Genomic DNA, 27,051 nt, shown 5'->3' on the forward strand with positions numbered 1-27,051 from the left:
AAAAAATGGCATTAAATCTGTAAAGTTGCTGAAAAGTTGTATAGAAGATTAGAGGTTCATGTAAGAGTTGAGAGAGAGAGAAAGAGAGAGACCTCATACCCCCAATATATTAAATTGACTTATCTCTACAGTAGGACAACTAGCTCCTAAGCTTCTTGAGGTGAGGCTGCAAGGAATGTGGCTCACATATCTGCCCTGCCCACCTCCCAAGAGGAGTCTCGCAGGGCTCCTCGAATAAATAAGTAAACACCTTTCCTTGCTTCTATGACTTAAAACCAAACTAAGAAGAGGATGGGCTCAAAGTGTAATTTTCTTAAACTCCTGGCGGGCTTTGAAATGAGGTTGCTCTTTAATCTTCACAATGACCTATTGATGTAGTCATCATTATTTCCACTTTACAGACAAGGAAAAGAAAATTGAGGATCAGAGAGTAAAGTGACTTGCCCAGGGTAGTGACTGTCCATTGTAAGTAGCAGAATCAGATTCAGATCCAGATCTTGCTGGGTCTACAATCCCATGTAGATGCCAAACGCGCATTATTTCACAATAACTAATTTCTCCCCACCTTGGTGAGTGCTGAAATCGTAATTTAAATCACTGACTGGCCCTGGCTTCTCACCACACACACACACACACACACACACACACACACACAGTCATTTTTTACATGGGTAAATGGACTCAAAATGTCTTCTAAGTTAACTAATCAGTAATGCCCTTTGCAGTCTAAAGTTACACAAGGGGACAAAATCATTTCTCTAGATCCTTGGCTTTGAATGAGCTATGTGACACTGAGTAGTTTATTTGGGATGTGTGACCCCAGGAGGACTGAGTAGAAGCCCGTAGCAGGATGAGATAGGTGCTTTTCTTAGTCCCTCTAGGATATATGAGTCTCAGAGAGAGGGAGGCAGGAACTAGGTGAGTTTTCCTGACCTTTTCCCCCTGCCTAAAGATGATGTCCCAGAGGCTGTGCAGACATAATGGCAGGATGCCCCAAAGGTTACCCCATGTGTATTAAATGGTCAGCAAGTGTGGAAAAAGGTGGGGTGCACCCAGGGGTCTGACACCATCACTGATGTTAATTATGAGTTCCCAAGGGCGGCATGCTAGTAGCCATTACCTGTAACTTTCAGTTGCAGAGCCTCAGCTCTCTCTGTTCCAGTGAATGAGCCATCAGAGAAGCTGGCTAGCTGGCCAATTTCTCAGATACAATTACTTTTTTATGATGAGGTTCAAGGAAGCTCAGGGCATCACGAGGACTTCCCAGACCCACACATCACACTCAGCCCTTTTATCCAGCTTCCATTTGTAAAAGGACACGTTGGCCTGGGTGGCCATTTCCTATCCCCGAGCCAAGCCGTGGGTCAGCAGCCACTATGCCTTCCTTTCATACTGCAGGTGACCTCCCAAAGTCCTGGGTCACAGCTGACTAAATGAACTGGATAATTAAAAGAGGGGATGAGCCATGCCGTGAGGTTTTGTCTGCCTCATCAAGAACACCATGCCCTTTTTATCAACCTACTTGGTTTTTTGTTTTTATTTTTCCCCCTTTGAAAAATGATTAGCCTTGAGAAACTTCTTAACCATGGCACCATCCACCATTAGCTGCCAAGGCCAGAGTATTTAAAAAGTTTCCAACTGCCCGCACTTAGAAAGTTGAACTAATAAAAACTGGTATGGCGGGGGTGGGGGAACCATAGCCTTTTCACGCCATAAGCCATAGTATCAAGTTTTCTTCCAAATCTGAAGATTTTTTTATCACTTCGAAGTATTGTTTAGAAATATGTTTATCTGGTGGGGGTGAGGATGAGATGAGGGTGGATCATTTTTTGTTATTAGAATTTCAGTACAATTACCAAGAATCATATGATTAACTTTATATATATATATACACACACACACGTGCGCGCGTGTGGATATATATATAGACACTGTATTATATATAGAGATAGAGATAGAACTTCATAAAAATTTAACCCCCTAAGTTCCATCACAGCTTTCCCTTTCTCCCAAGAGTAAATTTCCACAATCAAGGATACTAACTTGGGCCCGGAGGACAGTTACCTCCTTCTTCATCATATCGTGTTTCATAAGCATCAATAAATAGGAGCTCACAGATATGTGTGGAAGAGTTACATAAACACGGCTAGTACATTAGTACATCAGCAGTTCAATAAAGGTACCATTATAGAAAAAAAATAGTAAGGAAAATGCATCAAAATCCAGCCTTAAAGGACCAATAAGAAGCTCAAAGCCTGAGTCCCAGAGAATAGAATCAGACAAAGACTAGTTTCCATTTTTTCTATGCCTGTAATAGCTAGTGTTTATGCCAAATACAAATCCCAAATACTTCTGTCGAACTCCCTCTCACCCAAGTCAATGCATCTGCACACCATATGGGAATGACCTCCCATTCCCCTTAGCATCCTCCATATATATCTGCGGAAAGGAGGGACAGAGGACGAAGGTCCAGGGCTGCTGCTTCTGTGGAGCATGCTTTGATCAGCATCCCCCACTTTGTAGCGTGGTACCAAAGAGCTTGTGCATTATACACTCGTCCTGGTTTACCACTCACCAGCTCTGGGCCAATTACTTAGCTTCCCTGTGACTCAGTTTTTCCTTCTTTAAAATGGAGACATTAATACTAGCATATATCTTATACGGAGTGTTGTGTAAAATCAAATGAATTGATGTATATCTATAAAACCCTTGGAACAGTGCCTCATAAATTCTAAGTACTAAATACGTGACATTTTAGATTATTATGATTTGGTTGAAAGAGTGACTCATGCTTCCAATCCTGAGAAGTTGCATGTCAGTAACAGAAAGAACTAAAGCTGATGTCAGCTCCCAGGGCTGAAATCAACATTCCAGCCTGTCACAGTGTGTGTGTGTGTGTGTGTGTGTGTGTGTGTGTGTGTGTGTGTGTGTGCACGCGCATCTGTGTACAATGGTATGGACGCATATTAAGCCAAATTCAGTATATGTGTGGGTGTGGCATTATGGGTGATTTCTACCTTTATTTCTTAAAATTTTCCATGGTATTATCAGATTAGATTCATAACAATTAGAAATACAAAATCAATTCTCTCCCCATCTTCTCTTAAAAGCAGCTTCAGTCTGGTGAGGTGAGAGCCTTGATAACTTCCCTAATCCCCTAAATAGGATTCGACTTCTCATCCATAATTGGAGGAAAGGATCTGAAGTTTGGGGTAAAATGAAGTAGGACCCCCTCTAACAATCAACGAAGCCTCACCAAAAGAATGACATAGAAAGTAACAAAACACCCTTCACTCTCTGAGTAGGTGGGGAACCCACAAACTTCACCGGGAAGAGCAGAATACTTCAACGAGGAGTCATAGCACATCAAATGGCAGAAATGTATCATGTAAGCAGAGCAAAAAATTAAAGATGACTCCATATTTTAAGGAATCGTATTTGTACTAAGATTAAAATGAACTTTCTGGGTGTTCTTGTCATCTGAAGCATGCATATAAATGACAAGACTGCACATAATAAACAGTAATGGTAATGGGGGGAAAGAGTGCTGGGAGCCGGAATATTTCATCTTTCGGATTTCAATTCTTCATCCATCCACTGAGACCAAAGAACACATAGGTTATGAGACTTGCCTTAGCTATCCCTACAGTTAGAGCCAAAGACCTCCATGAAGTACTTGGTAGAGATCTACAGATGGTACCAAATGTTCCATAGGGCTAGGATTAAATGCCAAAGTCTACATGTTGTCACCTAGCAAATGGCTCATTATTCTAATGTCTAGAAAGTACATCTGGTCAATTATAAGCTTTGATGGCTTTACAGCTGTTTTGGAGAGGGTCAAAGAAAAGCAACATAGTACATTGGAAAGAATACTAGTTTAATAACAATAAAAATAATAATGGTGTAATCTAGTTCAACCATTGTGGAAGTCAGTGTGGCAATTCCTCAGGGATCTAGAACTAGAAATACCATTTGACCCAGCAATCTCATTACTGGGTATATACCCAAAGGATTATAAATCATGCTGCTATAAAGACACATGCACACATAATGTTTATTGTGGCACTATTCACAATAGCAAAGACTTGCAACCAACCCAAATGTCCATCAATGACAGACTGGATTAAGAAAATGTGGCACATATACACCATGGAATACTATGCAGCCATAAAAAATGATGAGTTCATGTCCTTTGTGGGGACATGGATGAAGCTGGAAACCATCATTCTCAGCAAACTATCGCCAAGGACAAAAAAACCAAACACCTCATGTTCTCACTCATAGGTGGGAATTGAACAATGAGAACACATGGACACAAGAAGGGGAACATCACACACCGGGGCCTGTTGAGGGGTGGGGGGACCGGGGAGGGACAGCATTTGGAGATATACCTAATGTTAAATGAGGAGTTACTGGGTGTAACACACCAACATGGCAAATGTATACATATGTAACTAACCTGCACGTTGTGCACATGTACCCTAAAACTTAAAGTATAATAAAAAAAATAATAATAATAATGGTGGATGCATTTATTAAGAGCTTGCAATGCTCAGGGGACTGGATTTTACCTGCCTTGTGATCTAATGCTCACAACAGCCACTGAGGTAGGTACTGTTTTTATATCTCCATTTATACCCCAGGAAATGAAGGGCAAAGAGGTTAAGCTGCCTGCCCAGAATATTCGGTTAGAAAGTGGAGAAGTCAAGTTCAAACCTGGGCAATCTGAGACCAAAAACATGGCTTTTAACAAACAATGTTCCCATTTCTCCAGCCCATCACACTTTCAAAGACCTTCCCATGCATTGCCTCATCTGAGCCTTACAATGATATCTGTCTATCCACCTGTGCACAACACATTGAATTCCTATCTCTGTTTTAAAGATGAAGAAACTGGGGTTCAGAGAGATTACATAACTTGTTTGATGAAATGCTACTTACAAGAAGGCCCAACTCATTTTTGACCATAAACTGTCCTCCTAGAAACCGCCCCACCAAGCTTCCCATTATGCACCATCATCTCCACATCACTTCACATCTCCAGACCTGAACGTCCTCATCTGCCAAATGAGGAAGTAGAAAGTTCTAACATTTGGTGCTTCTATAAAAAGAAATTAACCCATGCCACAAGCTGCTGAAGACCCGTCAGCAGCCACTCACCACCCACAAGATACCCAGGCTCCTTAGTACAGAGTACCAGCCCCACCCTCCACTCCAGGCTGATCTCACTCTGTTCCAGCCATGCTGAGCCATATGGTCTGCACTGTCCCCTCATCCTAGAGTGCTCTCACCACTCTGTGCCCAGCAAAACCTGCTGAGATTCTCCCACCCGCTTCCTGCAGGAAATGTTTCTTGTTCCTTCCAGATAGAACTGACCTCTTCCTCATCAATGGCTCCTTCATCACACTGCAACTTTACAGCACTTCTTTACTGATATGTCTTTCTCTTTCTACTGAACTGTTGGCTTGGCTCTAGGTGCCATGTCTATCTTTAGTACCTAGCACAGTGCCAGGCACACAGTGCTTCTTTGATAAATGTTTGTTGAATGAGTAAAAAAAAAAAATGTAGTCTGAAGAAGTGTTTAAAACAGTATTAATCTGAGCAGCAAAGTTATATCTAACACTCAAAACACAATCTGCTGGTTCGTCCAAAAGCATTAGAAACTGACTTCACTAATTCTATCACCACTCTACCGTTACAACTTTAATCAATCAACAAAAGATAAATGAGTGTCTAGAAAGGGCCAGCATCATTTTGAGAATGTCTGTTGCACCAGTAAGTAAGATATGATCCTTGTCCTGGTAGAACTCATATGTTTGCCAGTGCCCATCAGTAACTACACGGCAAGATGGCACATACTGTAAGAAACTTTATACAGGACCACAAAAAAGGAAGATTAAGCATTCTTCTAAATATTTCTCCAACTAATCAGATTGGACAAATGGAAAGAAACCACTTACTTTGATTCTGTATGTTTTCCCTTCTGCAATTTATGTAATTAGCCAAACAAAATCAAACCACATTATCTAAAACATGACAGTTTAAAATATAAACAAAAATGTGAGGTATTCTAAAGGTAACCTTGGTTCTCTTCTTTTAAAAAGGAGCTTAGTAAGCCAATTAATGTTGAAAATGAGATCAGAAAGGAAGCTGACTCTTTTAAGCACTTTAGAAGGAACCATTTTTCGTCCAAACATACCTCTCATGACGTAAGCAGAGGTCAGCAGCTCTGATATGTGAATTACAAATCATTCCACCAGATTGTTAAGGCAAAACTCTCTAGATGGCATGGCACAATGCTTATGCACACTTGAAAATAATGAACCCATATTTATGTTAAAACATGGCCTAGTGCAGGCTTTGTGCCAATTCACACTGGCCATCCTCTGAATTGGCCGCGGGCATTTCCTGAGTGCGAGGAAGACATTTTGCACACATTCTCTTACTGAATCCTTTCAACAACCCCGTGAGGGTGGTGGTGCTGTTATTATCCCTGTTTTGAAATAGAGGAGATTGAGGCAGAGACATGAAACCTTAGATGTTACACTGTTGCAAGTCATGGAGCCAAATTTATTCCCTATTCTTTATAAGGCCACATCTTCCAGTCCTCAATCTGCCAGAGTACCTTTATGAGGCTTTCTATATCAGAAAAAAAAAAAGTCCATTATCAAAATCAATTATCAACCCTCTTTCTGTTTTGTGAAGAAAGCGATAACTGCTGTAAAGTTCATTTTGAAGGCTGCCTAGAGTCCCGGTGACTTTGCTGGGACAATGAATAGTGTCTCCCTCTAAGTAGTTAAACAGTGCAGAACTCTCGAGTAATACAGCAGCTGCTAACAACACTGTCACCATCACATTGTTTAGTCAGCGATTGTACCTCAATGACTTTCTTCTCTTGATATGTGCTTAGGTTACCAAGAGAAATCTGAGAGCCCACTAATGCAAAATATATCTAATGCAAAATGTTTTTCCTCTACCCTCTGCTCTCCCAAAACTGACCTTTGCATTGGGGTCTTGAAGATAAACCTTCCTGCGATTTAAAGATTGATTCAAAACCTGGTGTAGGGGGTTTCCCAGGTATTCATGTATTAACATTTGCTGCTCAGATTTTTTTTTTCAGACAAACAACATCCTTTCAAAGGGTTCCTCTGGCACCTTCTTCACTTGACCTACCCAATTTAGAACAGTCCCTAGTGCTGTCTTGGTGGTGGCATTGCTCTGTGATAGCTAATACACATGCATACATTACTGCTGACATTTAAAAACATTCCTAACAGTTTGTGTGGGTACATGGTAAACAGATGCTATGGGATTTTTACCCATTATCAGTCATCTCTGAAGACTGCAGTCAAGTGACAGGTTTTTGAGACTTTTTGGTCTAAAAGCAAGAGATTTATTTTTAATAGAATATTGATATTATGGTACAAAATGGTATTTGGTGTTTATTTCTTTTCCCCTTCTAGCAAGGCAGTTCAGCTTGGTGGGTTTTGAGGCCCTAGCACCCTTTATTCTATCTGTTATTCTGGTGGTTTCCCCCCTGGGGGGTGGTGGTGGGGGGGAAGTTGCAGACTTTTATGAACTGTCTGATTAAAGTGCCTCCATCTGAATGCAGATTTAAAGTTCCAACACCTGAGAGCTCAAAACCAATGAATATTTATGCCAAAAACCAGCAGATGAATACACTCTAAATCTTCAAATGCAAGTCTAGTCATGGGTTTTATCTTATTTTAGGACTTACTTTTTATTAAAATGAACTCTTGCATATTTACACTACAGAAATAAACGTTATTTGCAAGCACAATACAGTAGAGTCCTTACAAATGCACTGCCTCTGGGAAAAGCAACTTGGCTCCTCAAGCAGATTTTGTTTCGTTATCACGTCTTCGTTGAAGAGAAGTTTCATTGCATATGATTGGCATAATTCGGGGCCCAGAAAATACAACCATTTGGGGAGATTATTCATTTAGTGGCCAAGATAATTGTACGTCCCTCCCTAGATGGGGATTTTTGTTGATTTAACAATTTTCCTCCTTTCATTGGAAACTTCTTTCAGGACCGCTTTTCTAGAAGGTAGAGATTGGTATAGGCAAGCACAAGGGGACATTATTCAGCAACAGGTTTATTTGCCTTCTCTGTAGGGTGGCTTAACCCATTTTGGTTCTGTAGTTAATGTCCCAGTTAATATTTGCTAGGTGCTCCTTCTACTAGAATAAGGAGCAAACTTGAGGTTTACCCTTAAATCCTAAACTGTCCCTTCAGAATACAATCATAGCAAAAGAACACTGGCCCTCATAACAATTAGCTCTAAGAAGTGGTTGAGGTTACACAGTCAGGCCAAAGACAAGGGTAACCAGACCAGAGGCTCCTAACCTAGCTCATTCAACAACACAGGTGAAAGCAAATATTGTTACCGGCTAACATCACAATGAGCAAATGACTCCCAAACACATAAAAGGTGATTCTTTCAAAGACAGAGAAATGTCCCATCTTAGACCATTCCTTCCGATACCTTTGCACCATTTTGCTTTTCATTAAATTGCAATAAACCCCATATCAAAAGCCAAGTGGAGTTATCAGAATTAAGGGAAATACAAATTTTGATTGATCCCACTATGCATCTTGAGACTTCCCTGCCCTCACGTTACTGAGGACTTAGAATATGCAAATTTACCATCATGTTCCTAAACTTATTCCTTCTTTTTCATAAAGTAAGCTTAGAGATAAATGTTTACAAATCAACCCAGTCATCATTTCTTCATTTTAATGCTTAAACGCTTCATTTTGATTGCTGCCTTTTTGACATTTCACCAAGGAAATATGTTTGCGTGTTCGCAATGCCATTGAATCAGCAATTAGATCTCCATATTCCAGATGTCATGAGAGTTTTCAATGCATCTCCCAATAAAATTTATTTCTGAACTTTGGGAAGGAAAATCACAAATGTACTTTGTATAAATTAAACACATTATCCTTATTTTTCTAATTGCTAAATTTAACACAGGGAGGGCTTCTGAATTTATTAATTCAAAATTTTCACATCATTCTACATAATATTTTTCTTGCAATGAATATAATTTTGAGTTATTTATAGGAATGACTTATGCATTTTGGTTCACTTTTTTTCCAGTGGAACAGGAAACATGAAGTTGAATTTTTGCTCTTAAGAGCATGCTACACTTGCCATCCTTACAAGTCTCTCTTGAGCCTTGGCACCTGGCTGGCACAGGAAATTTGTTGTCAAAAGTGGACAAAGAAAAATGTAATTCTGGTCTCATCTGTGCCTTCATTAAGACTTTTGGAGCTACTTAATTCCCTTCCTGCACACCTTGCACTGCTTTGATTCTCCACCTGCTCACAGGGCTAGCTCGGAAGTACTGCTCCTGTGGCCCCTTCGCTACCATGTGTCACTCCAGAGCAATCCAGTGCCAACCTTTTCCTCTTTTACCTCCTTGGTGAACTAAATATACAGCTTCCTAGGTCTTTGCAATAGACTCTAATTGACTCTATTAAAACTACAATAAACCAAAATGGCTATCCTATGTGCAATTTGGCACCACCAATATTTAAATGGGAATGCAGAGGTGTCTCTGTGAGGAGCCATCCTGAGTGGCTTCAGGCATAGTTGTAGGAGGGGAGAAAATAAAATGCTCTCCAAGATTTTGTTTACCTGAATTGGAAATGCACACCAAATCCTCATCTCCATTAAGTTAGGAACATGGCTGAGTAAACAGTAATCCTTCCCAGTGGCCCTCCTTGCAGGCCACACCCATCACCACGGAGAGCCCTGGCAGGCCCCTGAGGTTCCCTTCCCTCCATTACTCCTGTGACAACTCTTTGGCATTTTCTCCTCTCGTAAGAAAATGACACAACTCAGTGCTCCTTGTGATGGAAGGATTTTGCTTGGTATTTACCCAGTTCTAAAGGGTAACACTAGTAGAGTTTGACTCCCTGTTCTCCTCCCATCTGCAAAATGTTTGCAGATGCCTCCTTCTAGCCCAGCCCACCTCCTGAAAGACGCTCCTGAGCAAAAACTCATCTGTTAGTAATAGAACTGAAAAATGTCTCATTCCGGCTAGAAGTGGTACAAGAGCTGCTACTGCTCCAGCAAATTTATTTTGCCTTTCAAGGGTTTAATTGCACACAACATGGTGCAGTTTTGATTAATCCTTCAGAATTTAATATATACTCTGGGGGGGTCAATATGTTGCTTCTTCATGCATCGCTATCATGGGAGTAACCGGAATGCGTTTAAACACCACAGGAGGTACACTTCTCAAACTTACCTGGCCCTGCCAAGGGTAAAAAGTGCTCATTAATGACTCGATCCAGGAGGGGAGAGAGCAGAGGGGGTACGCTTCCTCCCTGACGCTATTTCTGCTTTGCTTGGCAGGCACGGTTCCCTTGGGGAGGTCCCAGGTGAGGCACACACTGGAATCTTCCAGGCTTATGCCCTGATCATTTTAATGAGAGAGCAGTGTTGAAATATTGGCACCTCGCATCCAGCCAACATATGGAGAAGCTGTACAGGCACTTAATTGAACTGTTTTAAGATTATGAAGGGTATAGTCAACTGGGTCAATGAGGGTTTATTCTGTGAACTTGGGCTATAAAGAGATCATTCAAAGGTAATAAGTCCATTTGCCATTTACACAAAGAATAATCTGTTAAATTCTACAATCCATGTCCCACAGTTGGATTTCTGAGGAGCATGGAAAGACGTAGAGTTACAGTGTATCACTAAACTTGTAAACACGCAAAGTAAGATCTTGAGGCTGGAGTGTTAAGATAGGCAAGCTCTAAGTTACTCAACCCTCTCCGAAAGTCACGATCAGAGGTGAAGAGCCACAAGAATAGCGCTTGGAAATGCCGCAATTGGGAAGTCATCTACCAAACATCCTCAGGAGAGGGGTCGCCTTCAGCAGAAGCACAGCAACAAAACAGAGCACGAAATGTGGAGTCAGAGAAGAGCTCACATCTTGGCTCTCCCTCGCTCTGTGGAATGTTAAACAGCCTTTCCCAGCCTGTTTCCTCACCTGAAAATTGTAATATTAGACCTGTCTCAGGAGGGCTGTCATGAACTGAACTGTGTCCCCTGAAATCCATATGTTGAAGTCCTGACTCCCACTACTCAGCATGTGACTGTATTTGGAGATAGGGCCTTTAAAAAGTAATTAAGGTAAAATGGACCTGGGGTCAGTGGCTCACGCCTGTAATCCCAGCACTTTGGGAGGCTGAGGTAGGTGGATCACGAGGTCAGGAGTTTGAAACCAGCCTGATCAACATGGTGAAACCCCGTCTCTACTAAAAATACAAAAATTAGCCAGGTGTGGTGGCATGTGCCTAAAATCCCAGCTACTCAGGAGGCTAAGGCAGGAGAATCGCTTAAACCTGGGAGGTGGAGGTTGCAGTGAGCCGAGATGGCACCACTGCACTCCAGCCCGGGTGACACAGCGAGACTCTGTCTCAAAAAAAAAAAAAAAAAAAGTAATTAAGATAAAATGAAGACATATGGGTAGGCTCTAATGTCATATGCCTGGTGTCCTTATAAGGAGAGATTAGGACACAGACACACAGAAGGATGGCCATGGGAAGACACAGGGAGAAGACGGCCATCTACGAACCAAGGAGAAGGACCTCAGAGGAAAACAACCCTGCCAACACCTTGATCTTGGACCTCCAGTCCCCAGAACTGGGGTTACATAAATTTCTGTTGCTTAAGCCACCCAGTCCCTGGTACTTTGTTATGGTAGCCCGAGCAAACTAAGACAGGGCATTAGGAATCTCCAGTGCAATCAGATACGATAGATACTCAGCACAGCACAGTCCCTCAAGGAATGCTAGTTCCCATTCCACTCTCCCCAACCCCATTTTACAGATGCATAAAGAGAAACAGATCCACAAGATGAATTGCCTAAACAGGATACAGTAAGTGAGAAAAAGAGAAAGTCACCTTCCAAAATTCAGAGGCCCTTGCCCAGTCTACTGGTCCATACTGCCCCCCACAAGAAATGGCAGCACAGTGGGCATAGAGAATCGCTTCAAACAAAAGGCTAGATGACATTCCTGGCTTCTGGCCATGGGAAGATTCATATCTCAATGTAACTTCAATGTTCCTAAGCCACCGACAAGGGGTCAGTGGCAGATCATTGCGTACAAGCAAACAGCTTTTTCAAAATCCTTTCCCTGAAATGCTATCCAAACAATCAAACAAGAGCTAACCCGTTTCCCCCCTCAAACACAGGTAAAACGACTTGATAATTCTATGATGACAACAAGCCCAGTTATCAAGCACCACCCTCATCTAACATGATCATAAAAACCTTTCTCAGTCAGATTTATGGATTGTCATGCGAGCCCCTGAAGAGCTCCTTGCCAGAGGGAAAACCAGGACACCAGAAGGCCAGGTCACGTGAGCATAGAGCCCAAAGTTCAGAGCATATAACTGCCCACACCCCTGGTCTGTGTGCTCACCAGATTAAACCAGCTACAAGATGTCTAAAAGTTAGAACAACAAACACACTGCCAGGTTTGCAGTTAACCTGTAGTCCGACAGGGCCACCTGGTCATGCATCCCCCCTTTTAATTCCCCCTGAAGGTCAGAGAACTCACCCACAACCTGAGAGCATATCCACCCACAGCCTGTTCCAAGTCAGTTTCTCTAGTTAAGTCAGGTCTCTCTCAACCTCCAATTCTTGGCAGTTTTAAGAGCCAGAACCAAAGGGACAATTGGACACAGTCCAATTGCAGTGAAATTAGAAGCTGCCTTAGATACACCAGGGTATACAGAACAAGCACTTGTTTACTCAACATATAAGTTAAGGTCAACAAGGGAAGGTATGCTTCCTGTTCACAAATCCTTGAGGGCTGTTTGTTTTGGGGCCTCTGGCTGTTCCTGGTGAAACCCCAGAATTAAGTGCCTGGGAGCAACCAGCCTGATCACATGAAATGCACTTTCTTTTGCAAATCACTGAAGTCTTAGCAAGCCTAACAGGATTTAGTCCCTGCTTGTTCTTGTTAAGCAAGAGAGGAGAACTGTCTGTCTCTCCTTCTCTTCTCACAATGGCAAAGGCCTTTGGTGATTAAAATGGTCAGCTCTCCCTGTAGCCTACAGACTCAGTTCAACTAAAAACATCAGCAGAAATCCATGGGAATGTAAAGATCCTAGTGTGTGCATATGAATACATTTCACCCTGTCTGAAAACACACAGAGACTGTCTATTAAACTAGAGTATTGATTTTGAGACTTGCTCCTTTAACCTACAAGACACTCTGCGGCCTCTCCCAGCATGTCCTTTAACTTCTTATGTTTTGGGCGAGATAGTGTGATCCACCAAGGGAAGCTTGTTTCCATTAGCAGTATCTCCTTGAAAACTCTGTGGAGTTCTTCAGTGCAGTTTTTCTTCCTTTGAATCAATGGTGGATGCAAAGTGTGTTAAACTATTTCAACCAGAAGCAAGTTACTAAGTTGCTTTTCTCCACTATCAGAAACTTTTTTTTTTTTTTGAGACAGAGTCTCACTCTGTCACCCAGGCTGGAGTGCAGTGGTGCGATCTCATCTCACTGCAAGCTCCGCCTCCTGGGTTCACGCCATTCTTCTGCCTCAGCCTCCCAAGTAGCTGGGACTACAGGCACCTGCCACACGCCCGGCTAATTTTTTAGTGTTTTTAGTAGAGACGGGGTTTCACCATGTTAGCCAGGATGGTCTCAATCTCCTGACCTTGTGATCCGCCCGCCTTGGCCTAGAAACTTCTTAATGACACATTTCCAGACAATTTTTGCTGAATAGCTGTTTCTTTAAAAATCAACTGACTTAAAATCACTGTAAATGTAAAATACTCAGAATGTTTGAGTAAAAAACATTTTTTACAGACAATACGTGAAGAGAAAAACAGAGTTTTGCTATTAATTGATGCCATATCATCCAAATGATCCCATGTAGTGAGAAATCCGCAGAATCTCAACATGAAGATCATTATCCCCGGACTTATTTCCCATCCTCCTGGCTCTGAGGACACCCAAGGATTCTTGACTGTGCATGTTAGCATCCTGTGCGTGCCCTTGTATGAGGGTACACTTACTTCCTTCGCACATATTAATAAGCATTTGAGCACAAGCATCAGGCAGACTGCACGCTCAGTGACTCACAAGGGAAGTGCTCATTTGTGAGCTTAAATGCTGGAACTGAGTGCACCAAAAAGGAGGTCTGTAAAGCTCTAGTCCATTACGGCTCAATTATCCACGGGATTAAACCTAAAAGGCAACATCTCTGAAAGAAGTTCGTCTGAAAACCCAACTGAAAGCCTTTCCAAAAAACAAACAAACAAATGAAAACAGGTTTGCTCCTTCCCTGTGACAAATGGAAAAGTGCTGGGGTCTCTCCAGGTACCATGCCCACCATCAGCCCTACCATTCCAGAGGTCATGGGGAGAGAGGGTTGCTCGGTCGAGAGCCAAAACCCGCCTTTGATGTCTGCTTGCCATCTATCTGTGTGAAACGCTAGGCCACAAGGGCATGGGTGGGTAAGAGAATGCATTTGGCCTCAGCACCACAGCCAAGGGTAAACACAAGGTGGGGTGGAGGGCCAGGACTGGAAATAAATCCATCTTCGAATGCAAAAAACACAGGCAGAGATAAAGGTGGGGACAGATAAAGATAAACTTGAGTTATATTCAGGAAAGCATTCGTCTTGGGTCACCTATCTGATCACAGGCTCTGTAATCACATTGCTTTAAGACAGGAACAAGGAATTTCTTTTGTTCACAACAATGCCAAGGATCTGTGATTTTGTGACCGGGTCATTGGACAATGCTACATTGAAAACTTTCTGAAAATAGCACTCTCTTCAAAGGTACCTGTCGCCAGAAGAGGATGATGATAATACACTCTGCCCTCAACTTAGACACCATTCTTGGCTCTAGAAATTCCTAAAAGGAATGCCAGGACTTGTGTGCAAGGAAAGCTGAATTATATGACAGTGGCCTAAAAATAGAATTCTGCTGACAAAAGGGAGACAAAGAAAGGTGAATCTCTTTCTTTGTGCTCACATAACTGAGAGAAACATGACTCAGGAGGATTTGTTCAAACCCCTAGTTCCTCATGAACATGCTTATCCTCAGAAGATTCATTCAAACCCCCAGCTCCTGATGAATGTGCTTATCCTCAGAAACAATCGAGAGACACTTGCCCTTTCAGACTAGAAGGAGACATTTCCCCCATCCCAATCAGCTCCTCCCCAAAAGAGAACAAAGATGGAGACAGTCCCATCCAAAAATGAGGATGCCAAGAGTGCTCTTGGCAATGCAGACATATCTGTTTTCCATTCTCTAAACCGTCTCAAATAGTTCTCCAGATAACAAAGGGACTAACAGAAGTTAGGAAACTCTAGGGAGTGCTAATCACCAAACACAGGCTTCGAACAGCCATAAGTGCACTGGAAGATGCTGAGTCAGGATCCCTAGAGCTGTGAGTTAGGGAGAGAAGTAGGGAGGAAACAAAAGCAGAAAAAAATCCCTTGCTCCAGAGGAACTTCAATATAACTAAGACAAAATGATGCCTTCTATGGCTCATGAGATGGCAGGTGCATTGAAGAGTCACAGAGAACAAGGCCTTGGCCAAGCGGCCTCAGGTTTCACATGACCAGTCCCCTGCCTACGCAGAGTTTGCCCACCCCTTAGGGAACTCACTGCTAGTAGCAGCTACACAGTGGACACAGGTGGAGGTTGTGAAGTGTCTTCACCATCATCAGCGTTGACTCTATGCTTAAAATTTGCTGGGCTTATAGAGTATAATACCAGATCTGGGGTTTATTAACCAGCTCTGCCAAGGTATGCACATCTCAGACTAATGAGTAGGGACTACAAACAAAGTGGCTAGAGGTGGAGAACATGCCATTCAAGGAATTGCTTATCAAGCAAAAGCAGGAAGGCCCTAGGGAAAATGGTGCATGCTTCCCCCCTTCCAATGCCACAGCTATCTCACTACAAGCTGTCATCTCGAAATGACCATCGAGGCATCGAAAATTCAAAGAGAGGAGCTGGTGAAGGAATGTTGCTTGTTTTTATAGCATATCTTGCTTGCTTGGAGGCAAAATCTGTTGCTGCATTTGGACTCTGGAGAGAGCAAGCTGCATCTCTCCCTTCAGGATCTAAAGATGTGACCGTCTGAAGCAAAGAAAGAAACACTCAGTTCCCTTCCATGAAAATAAAAATCTCTGCAGGTTGATAGGTTCTAAGAACAACTACCAGGAAAAGGAGCCACGTTTCTAATCAGGGCACAAAGTCAGCTACCAAATAGTGACTCAAAAACCGTGGCATCCAGCTAAAAATGATCACCCATAAAACTAATTTATGAACCTTTCGTGAGGCACTCAAAGAACTATTTAGCTTTCATAATATTATTCTAAGAGAGTCAGCATGTAGTGCCACATACATGGAACAAATTAAATCACCATGGCCCACACAGTCCAAGCACCTCACATCATAGTGTTGAGGCATAATTCCTTCCACAAACATTTATTGACACCAGCCTCCATAGAGTGTTTGAAGCACTGGAGTTGCAGGGAAGAAGAAAAGAAGGCAAAATTCCCTGCTCTTGAGGTACTTACATTTTAGGAAGTAGAGATGAAACGCTAATAAATAAGCAAAATGTATATTACATCAGAGGGTGATAAGAACTGTGGAGAAAAACAAGGTGGTGAAAGGAGAAATAAGAGTGCTGGGATTGGACTTTAAAAATGGGGAGGGGGCTGGGTGCGGTGGCTCATGCCTATAATCCCAGCACTTTGGAAGGCTGAGGCAGGCGGATCGCTTTGAGCTCAGGAGTTTGAGACTAGCATGGGCAACATGGTGAAACCCTGTCTCCACTAAAAATACAAAAATGAGTCAGGTGTCATGGCGGGTGCCTGTTATCCCAGCTACTTGGGTGGCTGAGGCAGGAGGATAGCTTGAACCCAGGAGGTGGAGGTTGTAGTGAGCAGAGATCACACCACTGCACTGCAGCCTGGGTGACAGAGTGAGGCTCCATCTCAAAAAATAAAAAATAAATAAAAATGGGGAGGGGGTGGTCAGGGAAGATCTCACAGAGATGATAGTTTAACAAGACCTCAAGGAGATTAGGTTCATGTGGGTCACTAGAAGAAGAGCTTTCCAGAGAGATGGAGTAGGATGAGCCAAAGCACTGAGGCCAGAGTTCTAAGTTTTAGAATTATAGGTGTAGGGAAAGCAAAAGAGATTAAAACCTCTATTTTAGGCCCTGAGCCTGGCGCATAGCTGAGGCTGGATGCTCAAAAACCAGTAAGGAAGCCACTGTGATTATTATAAAATAATAGTGTGCTTAGTAACAGAAACAGAGGAGCAAAATATGTTATTATTACGTGGGGAACAAAGCAAGTAAGGACATTATCAGCATGCAGTGAAACTATACCAATTGAAAAACATGCATACATGTATCTTTCAAAAATAGAATACATACCAAAAATGTTAACAGCAGTTATTTGGGGTAAAGGAGAATTATGAAGATTAGGAGTGATGTTTACTCTCTTGTTTTTCATTTCTTTAATTGTTCATTCAGTAAACATTTATGGAGAGTCTGCTGTGCCCCAGGCACTGGGGATGTCATGGTGTAGGGACAGACAGCCTCTCTCTCCTAACCTGACCTTCCAATAGGGGAGGGGGCAATATAAACTTCAAGAAATAGGTGAACACCACTGCACGCTGTAACATGTGCTGTGAGGAATCAAGCAATAGCTGAAATCGAGAAGAGCCAGTTTAGGAGACAATGGTAAGGGAAGGTCTCCCTGAGGAGATGACTTGGGGTGAACCCAAAAGGATCAAAAAGAGAAGAGCTGATCAAGCAAGAATAGCAAGAAGAGCTTCTGAATTGGAAAAGTATACGACGATATGAATATAAATAGCTTTTGTAACAAAAAATAGCCCACATATTAGACAGATAGATGGATGGATAGAAAGATGATAGATAGATAGATAGATGATAGATGATAGATAGACAAATGTGTAGTCTTAATTACATGACTGTGCTAACTATTTTGATCACTTTTTTATTAAATAAGCATTTATCGGACATATATGCAAAAAACTGAGCTAGGAATAAAGTTATAAATAACACAGACATGGCCCCTGTTGTCAGGAAGGCTTAAGTCAAATCAGAGGCAAAACCAGGATCTCAGAACCGCCACTTGGCATTACAGCAAATTGGGGACAAGCCAGTGACGAATTTCAGGAACCTGGCAGTCTTACTCCAAGTTTGCTTCAAGCTTGAAGCAAAAATAGCAGCAAAACTGGTTTTCTTTAGCATGCTTTTGACTGAACAACAAGTACATGTGCTTTTCACTTATTCACTCATTCATTCAACCAGCCCCTACTGGCCACATGCTCTGCATTGCCACAGTGCTAAGAGGTAAAGGGATGACGAAGGAAGAATGATTTCCCTGTAGGGGCTTATGGCCTATTTGCCAGGATATGCAGGTAAACAATTGCAATATAGAGAGCATCCCAAAAAAGTGTCTTCACGGTTTAGTCCTGTGATGATTAACATGTATTTTAGCAAATAGAATGGACAGATGGTAACTGTTTTGATTACCTTAAAATTATAAATGTCCAAGATGCCTGCCACTAGTGCCAATGTGTAGGATTTACAATGTAAACTTCAGAAAGGTATATATTCTTATTAGGACATTCAGTGACCTAAGGAAAACTCTGATGGAGATATACATAGGTCTGAGATTAAAAATTAGGGAAATGCCTGCTTGATGGCTTTAAGGACAGCTTCCCAGGAGAAGCGATGCTGGAGCTGAGTTTTGAAACCAAGTGGGAGTTATCCAGTGGCTTGGATATTCACATTCAGATGTGCAACCTGAGATTTACAGCCAGGACCCTTTGCTGTACCGTGTCCAGGGATGACACTGATCCCTGCTTCTTGCTCCAGAAAGCTGCATGGAAAGGAAACCTGAGCTTGAGACCAGCGCAGAGAGGGAGCCACCGAGAAAGGACTCACTTCTCTCCTTCTCGCCCCACTAGCCTTGCCCTTCTCCCTCCACTTTCCCCTTTTCTATCTGTCCTCCTTTGCACCTTCATTGTCACCTCATCTGGAGGTTAGAACTCAGTGAGCATCCCTAGAAAATAGATAGTCTGTTCAAATAAATGTTAGCCCTCCTCAGAGGCTAACATTTGGCAAAATCACCGAGGTGGTATTTTGGTATTTTGTATCTCAGCCAGGGACATGTGTGTTTTCACTTTGCAAGCTCTGTGCAGGCAATAAACATTTCAGGTTTTTTTTTTTTTTAACTTTTAGTAAAAGTACTAACTTTTTTAGTCTGGATCTTGGGGGCCAGCAATAATTTATATCTTGCATGACTCCATACCCTTCTGCAGTTTCAAGCACATCTGTTTTATATAAAAACTAGTGTTGAATGAGTGTGTGTGTGTGTGTGTGTGTGTGTGTGTGTGTACATACATATGCATATATATGCATGCCAGGCACAGGGTAAGCACTTTACATGTATTTACATATTTCATCCTCATAACCGTCCTATAAGCTCCACTTTATAGAGGAATGAAGAGATGAACCACTTTGCCCAAAACACTCAGCTAATACCAGCAGCCATGCCCAGCCAGGCTGGCTTCAAACCCACCCTGCACTTGTAACCCTCATAGCATGGTGCCTTGAGCTACCCCTTTGTGGTAGATAGTGCCATATGACCATTGCTGCCAACAGATAATAGTTGATAACGCCATTTGACCATCTCTGCTTACAGCACAATAGTTCAAATCTCAGTGTCTTGCCAACGTCACCTCATCAAACCCTTAACCTGCTTCCTTGACTCTATTGCTGAGTTGTTTCTTTTTGTTTTCTGTAAAACTCTGATGCCCTGAAAGGCTTTGTGACCAGAATGGCAGATGCTGCCTTGGGAAATACAAGGATTGTCCTTCCCAGCTTGGGTAATCCCATTTGTAGGAGAGGCAATGTTTAAAAATCACCTCATTCTTCTAGGTTGGACAGAAAAACAAAATAATACCACGTTCGACTTAGGTTTATAAACACTCAGTATGAGACAGCTAGAGACAGCAGGATAATTCCAGACGCATAACAAACGAATAGCAAATTTAATAGTGTGGGCCTTGTTTATACTTCTGCCATCAACTTTAATGATGAGCCTATTTATACTAAACTTCACTATATTATCGAAGTCATTAGTGCCTGTAAGTGGGTGATAATGTGCTTGAAACTTCCACAAGGACGTGTGGCTTTCTCTGAGTCTTACATTTCAATGTTGGGAGAGGCAGGTCCCAGGAGTATTTTCATACATAGGCCTAGAACAACTATTGGGTATTATAACCCAGAGAGCAGCTTCAAGGCCAAATGAGTTTGAGAATGCATGTTAAAAAGAGTTAAGCAGGTTTGTTTTACTTCAAAATCTGTAACAAAGTAGAAAACATGAATGTGTCTTCTGAACCTCCAAGATGAGACACATTGTGTCAGGTTTTCCAAAAGTATGGACCAAAGAAACTTTTGAGAAGGTGACAAAGAGTCACTCTTCTATTAGTCCATTAAAACAAGAGTTTAATGGCTGTTGAATTGGAGAGCTGTAGAAAAACCAGTGTTTAATGCAAAACCAAAGTACAGACAGAACACATATGAGTTCATTACTTAGCATTAATCATGTGCATGCCTAGCTAGCAGCACTGGCATGCACATTTGTGCAAATGTGAAGTCTTCATTTTGAAGGACTCGGTAAAGTGAGAATCAAAGCTTCAACAAAGAACCTCAAAACTCTGGATGAGTGTCCCTGCTCTATCAATGTGAACCAGAAATCTCATGTAACCTCAAGTATCCCTACACTTGGGACCAGGGGCACCTCGGTCTGCTGACTAGGGAGGCACAACGTCATTAGATCCTAATAGGAGGCATATATTAAAGATCCAATCTGCATCAGCGTTTTTTCCCAAAGATGAGCTGTTATTAGCAGACAAGCTGCATGCTGCCTATATGAGGCCTGAAAGATAAAATCAATATGATGGCCAACACCAGACCTTAACAGCAGGTCAGAAGAGAGTTGGTTGGAATGGGGCACTAGGAGGATTCTCATGCAACAAACATTAGCACCTTCTGACAGTGTCCTCTCATTGGAGAAGTCTTCCCTGACCACCTTATTTGAGGAAGCACCCCTGGTGGCTCTCCAGCCCACTTCCTTGTTATTCTTTTCCACATCACTTATTATCTAATATGGTATTATTATTTGTATTGCCTGTCTCCCCTCTGTAGAATGTAAGTTTCATGAGGTCAGGAATATAACTGTCACATTCATCACTATAGCCCCCATGCCTGGAACAGTGCTTGCCACCAAGTAACAACCCCATAAAGACTTGCTCAGTCTTTAAGGGATGTTCTGCTTTTAGGGAACTCTGATTCAGGTGAACAGGTATCTAGTTTTAGGAGTGACAGTCTTGGGTTTTCATTGACACCAACTGTCGCTCCTCCTCACATTTACACTGGCCTTATTCTAACCCAGGGCAAGAGAGGTAAAGAAATCAGGAAGGCCAGAGTAAACTGGGCAGAGGTCTGGTGCAGAGGCAAATTGTCACATAGGCCCTTGGACTCATGCTCGAACCGGAAGGTCGGGTTGATCAACAAGGGCTCAGTGAGACCGGGGATCCATGAGCTAGGGGTTGTTTCCCAGCTTCCTGAATCAGAGGAGACAATGCCAAGCTTAGCATCAGCCCTCTGGTTACAGGCTACATTTCAAAGCCTTTAAGCGCTTGAGAGGACTCCTCTCTATATCCTTTCCCACTCGGCTGTACCGGGCATAGCTTATTGTCTGTCCTGCCCACAGCCCCTTCTGAAGAACCTGAATTACTCTATCACCCTGGACAGGTCTGCCCATCCCTATACCCGGTCTTGGCCAACTGAACTGAAAATGGCCACAAGGTCAGAGCCAGACAACCCATAGACTGACCAATGGCCAATTAGCTCAAATTCTTCTGAGAGGGCATCTAGGAGCCACAGAAACCATCATCTCTGTGAGTCCTAAGCAATAGAAGAGTGAGGTCTTATTAATTTAGGGTATGCAGTCACATTGGTCAATGAATGAGCAGAAGGAAATGGTGAAACCCATCTCTACTAAAATACAAAAAAGTAGCCGGACATGGTGTGCACCTGTAGTCCCAGCTACATGGGAGGCTGAGGCACAAGAATCACTTGAGCCCGGGAGGCAGAGGTTGCAGTGAGCTGAGATCAAGCCACTGCATTCCAGCTTGGGCTACAGAGTGAGACTCCATCTAAAAACAAACAAACAAACAAAAAAAATACAGAGAAGCTGGATAAAGCAGAAATGAGGTAGAGTATGGCTTTTGCAACTGGAAAAATTTGAAAATCCAGTCCCCAGTTTCTTAGAGATAGAGAGAGATGCTTTCCACTGCAATAGGATGCTTAAATCCAGATCACCTAACATCTGATCAGCTTGCATTTCCCATATTCTATAACATTTCTCCCCCCACAAAAACACATTACTTTAACTAGACCATGTGGCTTTCCTGATCTCACAACCAAATATATTCCTTGCTAGAACACCTGCTTTGGATCTAAGATGCACTAGCATTCAGATCCATGAAATCTTGTCCCTGTATCTTTGGCTCCTAAGGGCTATCCACACAAATTCTGTTTTCCACCCTTCCTTCATGGTCCTGCTCTAATCCTGCCTGTTCTTCAACATCTTCTTTGAGTCCCAGTAGAATGATCACTCCCTCTTATGAACTCAGTCATGATCTCTACCTCCATGTAACACCTACTGAAATTCCCTCCCACCTTCCCACCTTTCCCTATTTGTGGAGCAACTACTATGTGATCTGTCAGATTCTGGATATTATAAGATGTAAGCAACATAGCCTCTGACCTCAAGGAGCTCCTAGCAAGATGAAAAGAAACTAGCACATCAACATGAGCCATAGAACAAAATGTTATGAACTAAACAGAACAACTAATGGGCTGAGAATCCTGAGATCTCCTGGGTAGGTTCAGGGTCAGAACTGGTGCCTACGTGTCTGTGATGAATCCTCAGTTCAAACATGCTAAGTCAGGTGAACTGATTACTTGCTCACACATAAGAAATGTACTTAGAAAGGTTTCTATCATGTAGACATGGACATGATACATGTTTGTCAAGGCAGATGAAAAATACGTCTTCTCCATAAGTAAGGACATTCACAAACAGTAGCTGAGACAACTCATTACTGACATAAGACTAAATGCCTCTCTAAATGCAATGTAAACACATGTGTTTGATTTATCTGTCAAAACTCCAACATGCTCACTAGCATCAAAGGCTGCATTCAAATCATACTGCATCCAAATGTTCATCTCTGGGTGGTCTTCTCTTTCACTATGCCCTTTAAAATTATTACTATACTTATTTGTAAGTTGGGGGGAAGGGACATGCTTAAATGAATGACAAAAATAACATTGTCAAAATACAAAGAGAATCCTGAAAACTGTATGGCAATAAAGAATAAAATCAGTCTGATAAAGAATTTTCTATATGAGTACAGTTTCTATTAGCATTATCTATCTTGCATGGTGAATCAAGAATAATGGAGATATGCCACCTGTATATATTGCCATAATTCATTATTTGCTCCTAAAGCCAATATTTCTCAAAGACAAAACCAAAGTAAGCAGTATTAATGAGTTGTTGGATTGGGAAATTTTAAAAAGATTTTAATAACTAGCATCTTCTATGACAATCTTCTAATTAAAAAAAAAAATAAGTTGGCAGTGAAAAGACACAACCTGTACCCACAAAATTAGGCTGAGGTTAAAGCAGAAAGGCCTGTTGGATTGCCGTTTTTATTACTAATTTACTTTGTTCATTTAGGGAATCAATTTGCTGCCATTAAAGGCTTGGGTTTCATATATTTTATAATTTACACACATTTCCTGATGTGAATGAGCTGTGCAGTTTGTAAGAGCTCAGACAAACTCTCTTCTAATGGTCCAATAGATGCAGATGTTCCTAAAATGGACTTGCAAATAGAATGGAAATGCCACTATGCCTGCCATTCTAAATAACTGGGAACAAATCCCGAGCAGCGTGGAAGCTTTGTTCAGCAGTTTTATGTTTTTAGTTCCTCCTGCATTAAGCTAGTTATGAAATAATAGAAATTAAGAGGGTTCTTCCTGGCCTTAACTGTTTTCATCTAAATCTAAATCTAATTTTTCATTGATTTACAGCAAACCTTACGGGAGAAGTTGAAATTCATTGATCTGGAATAGGATAAACAACTATCTTTCCAAAACCCTTCAGGAAGGTGGAGTGCCCCCAATTTTTAGGACAAAAGAGTTTTTACAGATCATAGTAAATCAATAACTCGTAGACAGTATGACAGATACAGAATATCCTTACTTAAGATGAAAAACAAATTGTACATTGAGATCTTTAATCAATAAAAAGCTAACAAATCAGTAGTGCAAACAAGGTGAGAGAATCTTATTTCATCCTCAGTCACGAACTGAAGAGACACACCGGGCAGTGTTTTGTGGTTAAAAATTGCTCCTAGGCTGGTGTACTAGCGAACTATTGAGTAAGAAGGTCAGTAGAGACCAACTCACTGTGGGATTTGCAATGCAGAAAGGACAAGTAGGTGTAACATAAAAGGGCACTCTATGTAAATGTCAATTAATGTATTATTCTTCAACAAACTTCTTTAACAAGTATTTTGGTGGCTTTGAAGCCTCTGTTCTTCTTGTGGGAGCAAGAATGAGACCTCTTGCTTTAGCTTTTGATTAAACAACGTTCAGAAAAAAACTCATCAACATAGATTAAACCTTCACATTAAAACTAGAGGGCTTGACCCATCCCAATTAGCCCAACTCCTTTGAAATATTACAACCAAGAGGTCCTTTCTTTTCTTGTGCCAGTAAACTCTAAAATAATGTTGCTAGAGCATAACTCCTGAATTCCAAAAACCCCGCCTACTGCACACAGGAGACACACAATAGTAATAGCGATCTTTTCAGTGCCGTGGGCATTAGGACACATGTAAAATAATGTTCCTTTGGCAGATGAGGACTCTGGTGCCAGGAAAGGTGCACTGACATACCCAAGGTTGTACAACAAAAAAAGCAAAGCTGGGACCACATCTAAGTCAGTCTGGTTCCAAAATCCATTCTCTTGTGCATTATACCATGGCTGAGTACTGCCCCCAAGGACCTCCATAATTTGCCCATCCTAATATTCTGCTGCCTCCCTAGATACCCTCTCCTCTCTATTTCCACGCATCTCTTTCATGTCCCAAATATGCCTATGCTGTTCCAATTGCAGTTTCCCACGTGTGATTCCCCAGTTCTGGGATCTTCTCCATGTTTTAAAAGTCTACCATTCCCTGAAGTTTCTGCTATAATCCCACCTGTTGTGAAAACATCGTTGCCTCTAAATTCTTATTGCCTCTTGGTGCTGCCAGCCAGCACCTTTTGCATTTGTTGACATTGCTCCCCTTTCACAAATTATATGTCAACTAAGGACAAAAACTGGGTACCTAGTGTCTTAGTGTACACAGTCTTAGCAGGCTGGGTGGCCTAAACAACAGAAATTTATTTATCACAGTTCTGGAGGCTATGAAGTCCAAGAAAAGGGTGCTGGCAGATTTGGTTCCTGGTGAGGGCTCTCTTCCTGGCTTGCAGGTAGCTGCCTTCTTGATGTGTCATTGAACAGTGAAGAGAGAAAGGGCTCTGTTCTCTTCCTCTTCTTATAAGGGCATCTCGTCATGAAGGCCCTTCTCTCACAAGTTCATCTAAACCTAATCACCTCCCAAAGGTCCACCTCCATTTACCATCACACCGGGGGTTAGGGCTTCAGCATATGAATTTTGAAGGGAACACATTCAGTCTATAGTACCTAGCTATTACCAATTGAGAAAACATACTTTTGTGCCAAGCACTGTTCTAAGTTCTTTATATTGATTAAACATATTAATTCATTTTTTTCACCACAACAATCTGTTCACAAAGATGAGTAGGTACTATTACTAACCCTATCCTACAGATGGGGACAAAAAGGCACAGAGAGTTAGTAACACAGCCCATCCATGACGGAAGGAGTGAGTGAACACAGACCTTATGGTTCCAGAGGTCACAATCTCAACTTAACACTATGGCATCCCAAATAGGTCTATGCCTCTAAAACAGCACCCAGCTAAGTACCTCATACTTAGGCAGAAACAAATAAATAATTGAATAGTAGTTGAAATAATCAAACTCAATAAAACTCAGAGCTTGTGGTCTTAGGAAGCATCTGGTTCACTTGGTTTAACAATAATGCACAGGAAGGGGAAATGCATTGCCTGGTGGCAGAGAGATGCTTTGTGGAGCAAACTAAAGAAGGAAAGAGTTGTTTCTCAACTGAGGGAATTGCTGGATACAAATTCCCCCATGGGATCTGGACATGACATTCTGCACAAGCACATGCCCAAGATTTTTCTTTCTTCGATTTAAGCCACTTCCTCACAAAACATGAAGTTAGCTAAAGAAAGAAGCTTTTCATTAACCACAAAGTTCCCGTAACTGTCTCACTTTTCTATCTGTACTTACAAATTTAAAAAGGAGGAGCTTTCAGGGCAAGCTATTTTCTTGCATGGCATTAAAATCAACAAAACTCTGAAAATCAGCCTTCTATTCATGCAAACATTTATGGAACACCTGATGTGTGACACATGGTGAATGATCCTGGGACACCAAGATGTAAGCCAACATCCATGGAGAGAAAGTGTTCCTTTTTACACAATTCAAAGTATACCCCCATATAAAAAGTATAAATAAGCAGTTAATGGGAGAACACAGAGGAGGCAGAGATTGAGTTGAGCTTTTGAGGTTGAACACAATCAGGAGCTACATTTGGCCAATACTACAACATGAAATGTGACAGAGCCTTTGTAAAATATTTGAATAGTTTGCCGCTTATTATTAGTATTATTTAGTCATAGCTATGAAGTAACTTCCAATCACTACGAACAGCATTTGCTAATTTAATTAATTAACTATATCAAG

General features: G+C 41.8%; 1 protein-coding gene across 13 annotated transcripts in view, besides 2 other annotated features; it reads right to left on the minus strand.

The window, feature by feature from the left end:
- The window catches only part of PPARGC1A (PPARG coactivator 1 alpha), a 680,885-nt gene that overhangs the window by 333,628 nt on the left and 320,206 nt on the right, over positions 1 to 27,051 (minus strand). Inside the window, exon 1 of one of the 13 annotated variants that reach the window (XM_047449553.1) lies at positions 12,610 to 12,635. The exons of the other annotated variants lie outside the window; for them this stretch is intronic. The gene's annotated coding sequence lies outside the window, so the exon portion shown is untranslated. Of the gene's footprint in view, positions 1 to 12,609; positions 12,636 to 27,051 lie in introns of those variants that run through there. 13 annotated transcript variants of the gene reach the window in all.
- Positions 11,958 to 12,252: a silencer, noted in NCBI's record as "tiled region #2780; K562 Repressive non-DNase unmatched - State 24:Quies". NCBI's record gives its function as "represses a minimal TATA promoter and a strong SV40 promoter by Sharpr-MPRA in K562 cells {active_cell/tissue: K562}" and the evidence as "EXISTENCE:reporter gene assay evidence [ECO:0000049][PMID:27701403]".
- Positions 12,258 to 12,552: an enhancer, noted in NCBI's record as "tiled region #10171; HepG2 Activating DNase matched - State 5:Enh". NCBI's record gives its function as "activates a minimal TATA promoter and a strong SV40 promoter by Sharpr-MPRA in HepG2 cells {active_cell/tissue: HepG2}" and the evidence as "EXISTENCE:reporter gene assay evidence [ECO:0000049][PMID:27701403]".

The sequence above is a fragment of the Homo sapiens genome, chromosome 4 (genome assembly GCF_000001405.40).
Source record: "Homo sapiens chromosome 4, GRCh38.p14 Primary Assembly".
Lineage (NCBI taxonomy): Eukaryota > Metazoa > Chordata > Mammalia > Primates > Hominidae > Homo > Homo sapiens.